This window comes from Homo sapiens, chromosome 17 (genome assembly GCF_000001405.40).
Source record: "Homo sapiens chromosome 17, GRCh38.p14 Primary Assembly".
In the NCBI taxonomy this organism is placed as follows: Eukaryota; Metazoa; Chordata; class Mammalia; order Primates; family Hominidae; genus Homo; species Homo sapiens.
In genome coordinates this window covers 49058181-49065482 of record NC_000017.11, presented here as the reverse complement: position 1 = coordinate 49065482, position 7302 = coordinate 49058181, and the positions used below count along the sequence as shown (strand labels likewise).

The following is a 7302-nucleotide window of genomic DNA, read 5'->3' as shown; positions in this document are numbered from 1 at the left end:
AGGGCAGATCACTTGAGGTCAGGAGTTTGAGACCAGCCTGGCCAAATGGCGAAACCCTGTCTCTACTAAAAATATAAAAATTAGCTGGGCATGGTGGTGGGCACCTGTAATCCCAGCTACTCGGGAGGCTGAGGCAGGAGAATCACTGAAGCCTGGGGGGCAGGGTTGCAGTGAGCTGAGATCGAGATCATGCCACTGTACTCTAGCCTAGGCGTCAGAGCAAGACTCCATCTCAAAACAAACAAACAAACAAACAAAAGAAGGGCTGGACTGACCACGGCTGGCTTTGGAGATAGAAGGGGACCAGGCACCAAGGAATGTGAGCCGCCTCTAGAAATCTGAAAAGGCAAGAAAATGATTTCTTCCTAGGACCTCCAGAAAGGAATGCAGTCCTACCAACATCTTGATTTTAGCCCAGCAGAGACTCATTTTGTGTTTCTGAACTACAGAACTGTAAGATAATACATTTATGTTGCTCTAAGCCTCTAAGTTTGTGGCAGGTTGCTACAGCCTCTATAGGGTATGGACACAGTGTCTGCTGCAGTCAACGCCCAGCAGTACTCTTACGAAGAGGTCTATGTAGTCCATCGCCAGGACTAACAGGATCCGGTACCCCTAGCTATATGCTCTGAAGTTCACTTTGCCACTCAACTATATGGCTGGCATTTCAGGCATGTTTGCCAGGCTTTCTTGGCCTCAGGTGCTGGAACCACTAGGCCTGGTTTTGGGGCCCAGTCCTGAATTGTACATGAATTACATGTGTGATGGTGTATCCAGGGAGCTATGGTCCTCACCTGGGCAGCGCAGATCTGATTACTTCATTGATTTCACTGATGTTCATCCTTGAAGGGTCCTTTCTGAGGGGCATTCACATGGGTCATGAAGTGGGGGTAGGGGTAACAGGCTACATTGGCCGGGTGGGGTCATGTTAACAAGGACAAGTGCCACAGCCTGCCACTCTGCCCATTGAGCCGAATTCTCTTGCCCATGCACTGTTTGAAACTGTTTTCTTTGGGGCTGCCCAGCAGTAGTGGTCCAGGACACTCCATCATTCATTAAGTAAGTGGATCCATCCATGAGCCAGGCCCAGGCATCTTCAGGAACCTCGTGTACCAAAGCCCCCAGGAAGCCCAAGACGCCAACATAGACCGGCATCTGGGGTAGCCACATCGGAGTGTGACTGGCCACTTTTTCATGTTGCTGTGGGGCACCACTAATGCTCAGTTTACTTCTATTGTTTTCAGCCACACATTTTGTAGTAACCTGTTACAACCACCTTAGGAAACTAATAAAGCCTGTATTACAGAAAGACAAATAGGCCTTCTTTGGCCAACTTTTGCTGAGTTACAAGTTCTGTATCAGGAACATAGAGTTTCTTACTTTGTAAAAGACAGAATTTTCTCCTTGACTGCCAGAGAAATTCAGTGTTGTAAATCCACCTACATTGTTTTAAAATACTTTACTTGGCAAGGAGGTCCTGAGTTTTATTGGGGCTTCTGGGTCGGGGTTGCTCCCACTGGCAGGCAGCCAAGGCCACTAAGAATGAGGACTTTAACTTGCTAGTCAGCAAGACATCATTATAGAGTGAAAATTTTGGACACCAAAAGAATTTTCCAACACTTTATGCACATTCAAAATCCAAACATGTAGCTACTCTGGGCACACTGCCTATAGCCCTGCTCTGCAAGGGGCAGGAAAAAGAAAAAAAAAACAAAACAATTCAAACTTGTAACACATTTCAGCAGCAATGACACATTTTTACAATAGTTCATTACAGTGAATGGGCTGGAGTCTCGTTTGCAAAGTCACTTTATCCTTTTCTCTGCCCTCTTCACTGCAAGTTTTCTGCCTAATATGTTAGGCAGTTTTTTTACAGAAACACAGACCAAGGACTTTTAACACAGGTACTGCAGGAGTTATGCAGTAGCTAGAAGCACACAGAGTAATTTGCACCAGGGAGCACAGCTTTGCACTACTTTTGGTTTTAAGTGACCACTAACTCAGCCTCCAACTCACTTTCAACACCTGGGCACCAATCCTACCTCTAGCCGCTGGACCTCCCAATGTGGATCCAATATATTTTTTGGGTTTTATTTTATTTTATTTTATTTTATTTTTTTATTTCATTTTTTGAGACAGAGTCTCCCTCTGTCACCCAGGCTGGAGTGCAGTGACACGATGGTAGCTGTAGCCTTGACCCTCGGGCTCAAGGAATCCTCCCCACCTCAGCCTCCTGAGTAGCTGGGACTATAGCCATGCACCGCCATGCCCAACTAATCTTCTTTATTTATTTATTTATTTATTTATTTATTTATTTTTGAGACGGAGTCTCGCTTTGTCACCCAGGCTGGAGTGCAGTGGCGTGATCTCGGCTCACTGCAAGCTCCGCCTCCCGGGTTCACGCCATTCTCCTGCCTCAGCCTCCCGAGTAGGTGGGACTACAGGCGCCCACCACCACGCCCGGCTAATTTTTTTGTATTTTTAGTAGAGTCGGGGTTTCACCATGTTAGCCAGGATGGTCTCGATCTCCTGACCTCGTGATCCACCTACCTCGGCCTCCCAAAGTGCTGGGATTACAGGCGTGAGCCACCACGCCCCGCCTAATCTTTTTAATTTTTATAGAGACAAGGTCTCACTATGGTGCCCAGACTGGCCTTGAACTCCTGGGCTCAAGTGATCTTCCTCCTCAGCCTCTCAAAGTGCGGGGATGACAGGTGTGAGCCACCACCCTGGCCTGCCTCCCAATGTTTATCAACAGGTGGCATGAGCTGCCAGCTCCCTGGAAGTCCCATCCCCTAACTGGATCCATGCAGCCCCTGAACAAGTAGGAGAGTGGGAAGATCCTACTCCTTCTTTCTCACCTGCCACTCAGGTGAAGGCCATGCTAGCAGATAGTGGGGCACACAAATCATCCCCTTATATTATCTCACGAAGCCTCAAGTCATCTTTTTTTATATTTTTTTATTTTTTTAATTTTATAAAGTAGAGACAAGATCTCTACTACTGAGCTCGAGCCATCCTCCTGCTCTAGCTGGGATTACAGGTGTGACCCACCACACTCAGCTTCGAGTTGTCTCTTAAGGGCACTGTAACTTTACAGTCCCCCCCACTGGGTGGCAAATTTGTCAAACTCCTGAGTACAAGATGAGGCAAGGCCAAGATCTGACTGATTTGACCAGTAAAGATACAATGAGGCCGGGCGCGGTGGTTGATGCCTGTAATCCCAACACTTTGGGAGGCCGAGGCAGGCGGATCATGAGGTCAGGAGTTCAAGACCAGCCTGGCCAACATGGTGAAACCCCGTCTCTACAAAAATACAAAAATTAGCCGGGCGCGGTGGTGGGCGCCTGTAATCCCACCTACTTGGGAGGTTGAGGCAGGAGAATTGCTTGAACCCAGGAGGCAGAGGTTGCAGTGAGCCGAGATCCTGCCATTGCACTCCAGCCTAGGTGACAGAGCAAGAACCCATCTCAGAAAAAAAAAAGATACGAGTCACTCTTAGATTTGACACGTTAGTACTTACACCAGTGGTGAAAAGAAGGAAAAGCCAAAGCAGGCATGCTCCCATGATCCTGTCCCACGAAGTATGGAACACCCTACTGAGGAGGAGCCAAGCTGAGGCTGCAGCTCTGTGGTTTGGTATCCTACGCTCTACTCTGAGGAAGGGATGGGGCAGACTGAGTAATCAGAATCCAGGAGTCATGAAAAAGAGTTTCATGACAGTTTTCTGGGAGAGAGAGGCAGGTGGGAGATGACCTCATAGTAGCCCTTTACAAGCCTGCAGTCCCCTCGTGTTCTGGGAGGATCACAAGGCATTCTGCCAAAACTCAGGGAGGCTGTGTCTCGAGCCTTTGCCTGCATGAATACATGCGAGGTCGCCATGGTGCCATGGCAGAGTTATTCCCCTACTAGAAAATAGAACGAACAGAACAAAGATCCCTGCCTGCATGGAGGTTAGATTCTAGAGGGATGGCAGAGAGCAAATAAGTTAGAAGCCAGAATGGTGGCTTTGGTGGAGACGGGAAAGAGATGAGCATGAGGGGCTTTCAGGGGTGCTGGTGATGTCCTCTTTCTTCATCTGGGTGTTGGTGATAGGGGTACATTTTCAGTTTGCGAATTCCTTGATTAATTCACTTATGATTTGTGCACTTTTCTGTATGTGTGCTATACTTAAATTCAAAAGGTAAAATAAATATATAATGAAGTACAGATTAAATAAGGAAAGTATACAGTATGTCAGATAGTGGTAAATTAGAGAATTTTCTTTTTTTTTTTTTTTTTTTTGAGACGGAGTCTTGCTGTGTCACCCAGGCTGGAGTACAGTAGCACGATCTCAGCTCACTGCAACCTCCACCTCCCGGGTTCAAGCAATTCTCCTGCCTTGGACTCCCAAGTAGCTGGAACTACAGGTGCGTGCCACCACACCCGGCTAATTTTTTTGTATTTTTAGTAGAGACGGGGTTTCACTGTGTTATCCAGGATGGTCTCGATCTCCTGACCTCGTGATCCACTCCCCCCTCGGCCTCCCAAAGTGTTGGGATTACAGGCGTGAGCCACCACGCCTGGCCAATTAGAGAATTTTCTGTAGAGAAAAATTAAAGCTGAAAAAGGGGAGAGAGCATGTTGAGTTTGGGAAAGAGGTTGCAAGACCGCTTGATGGTCATAGAAGGTGTCTCTGAGCTCTCAGGTGACATTTCAACAAAAACCAGAGGCTGGCCACCGTGCCCTTCCTATCACCCCCAGGTTCCATCTCAGGCCTCCTGTTACCCTCTGCCTTGCTTTTCCATTCCAAATAGCTGACCTCTTTTCATTTGCTTTCTAAATCCCTTATTTAAAAAAAAAAAATCGGACACGCTCCTGTAGTCCCAGCTACTAAGGAGGCTGAGATGAGAGGATCACCTGAGCCCAGGAGGCAGAGATTGCAGTGAGCCCAGATCGTGCCACTGCACTCCAGCCCGAGCGGCAGAGAGACACTGTCTCAAAAAAAAAAAAAAAAAAAAAAAAAAAAAAAAAAAAGCTATCTATATATCTCCATCATCAGCACACTCACACACCCCTTGGTTGCTTCCTCCAGCTTCACGGTGCTAATATTTCTAGACTTACCTCTTTATTTCTACATTATAATGGATAAAACTTTTATTTCATGTTTGGTCTCAGTTAATTCTGTTAAGACAACAAACTCTCATATATCTCTTGCAGTATCTCCTTGTCTTGTCTTGTCTCACCTCTTTTTAAAATATTTCGTCCAAAACTGCTTATTTGCTTGTAACACCTTGCAGGACAAAATTTCTGAAGCCTTGCATTCCTGGGGATCTTATTATCAGGTATATTTAAGTAGTTTGGCTGGATGTAAAAAATCTAGATTTTTAAGTTATTGTGCTTCAATATTTTTAAAACTTCGTTACTTCTCCAATATCTTCTTGTACCTAGTATTGCTGTTAAAAAATATAATACTGGTCTGGTTCTTATTTCTTTTTTTTTTTTTTTTTTTTTTTTTTGAGACAGAGTCTCACTCTGTCTCCCAGGCTGGAGTGCAGTGGCGCAATCTCAGCTCACTGCAACCTCTGCCTTTCGGGTTCAAACGATTCTCCTGCCTCAGCCTCCCGAGTAGCTGGGACTACAGGTGCCCACCACCATGCCCAGCTTATTTTTGTATTTTTAGTAGAGACGGGGTTTCACCACATTGGCCAGGCTGGTCTCAAACTCCTGACCTCGTGATCCGCCCGCCTCACCCTCCCAAAGTGCTGGGATTACAGGTGTGAGCCACCGTGCTCAGCCTGATTCTTACTTCTTTTTTTTTTTTTTTTTTTTTTTTGAGACGGAGTCTCGCTCTGTTGCCCAGGCTGGAGTGCAATGGCGCGATCTCAACTCACTGCAACCTCTGCCTCTCCGGTTCAAGCGGTTCTCCTGCCTCCTGAGTAGCTTGGACTACAGGCACCCGCCACCACACCTGGCTTTTGTATTTTTAGTAGAGACGGGGTTTCACCATATTGGCCAGGCTGGTCTCGAACTCCTGACCTTGTGATACACCCACCTCAGCCTCCCGCTGGGATTACAGGTGTAAACCACCGCGCCCAGCCTCTTATTTCTTTATAAGCAATTTGCTTAGAATTTTCTCTTTGGCTTTGATCTACTTAAATATCACTAGAATATATGTAGGTGTGAGATTTTCCAACTCTGTCGGCTTTGGCAAGCTATGGGCCCTTTCAATCTGAGGTTTGACAAGTTTTTGAATTCTCAGAAATTAATCTCTATTGTTTTTCTTTAATATTTCCCCCTCTATTTCTCTCTCTCTTAACACAAGCGTCTGGATGTTAGCACTTCTACAACTAGCCTTTGTATTTCTTAGGTCTTCTTTTCTATTTTGTATTACTTTGCTCTTCTGCTCTGTTTTTATTCTGGGAGATTTCATTGCTGTGGTCTTCTAAATCTTTTTTTTTTTTTTTTTTTTTTTTTTAATGGAGACTTGCTCTGTCACCTAGGCTAGAGTACACTGGCTTGATCTTGGCTCACTGCAACTTCTGCCCCCCTGGTTCAAGTGATTCTCCTGCCTCAGCCTCCAGAGTAGCTGGGACTACAGGCGCACACCACCACACCCGGCTAATTTTTGCATTTTTGGTAGAGATGAGGTTTCACCATGTTGGCCAGGCTGGTCTCAAACTCCTGACCTCAGATGACCCACTGCCTCTGCCTCCCAAAGTGCTGAGATTACAGGCATGATCCACTGTGCCTGACCCACTTATAACTTTTTCTTTTTTTGAGACATAGTCTCTCTGTTGCCCAGGCTGTAATGCGGTGGTGCAGTCTTGGCTCACTGCAAGCTCCGTCCTCCGGTTCATGCCATTCTCCTACCTCAGCCTCCCAGGTAGCTGGGACTACAGGCGCCCGCCACTACACCCAGCTGTTTTTTGTTTTTGGCAGAGACGGGGTTTCACCGTGTCAGCCAGGATGGTCTGGATCTCCTGACCTCGTGATCCGCCTGCCTCAGCCTCCCAAAGTGCTGGGATTACAGGCCTGAGTCACCGCGCCCGGCAAACCACTTATAACTTTTTAAACTGTTGTTGTTGTTGTTGTTGTGTGTGTTTGGTTTTTTGAAACAGATTCTCCTTCTTGTGCCCAAGTTGGAGTGCAATGGTGCGATCTCAGCTCACTGCAACCTCCACCTCCCAGTTCAAGTGATTCTCCTGCCTCAGCCTCCTGAGTAGCTGGGATTACAGGCATGCACCACCACGCCTGGCTGATTTTGTATTTTTAGTAGAGACGGGGTTTCTCCATGTTTGTCAGGCTGGTCTCGAACTCCCT

General features: G+C 46.6%; 1 annotated feature.

Annotated features, from left to right (window-relative positions):
* Positions 6801-7302: an enhancer, noted in NCBI's record as "H3K4me1 hESC enhancer chr17:47135543-47136044 (GRCh37/hg19 assembly coordinates)". NCBI's record gives its function as "activates a minimal SCP1, AML or CMV promoter by ChIP-STARR-seq in primed H9 embryonic stem cells {active_cell/tissue: H9 hESC(primed)}" and the evidence as "EXISTENCE:reporter gene assay evidence [ECO:0000049][PMID:30033119]".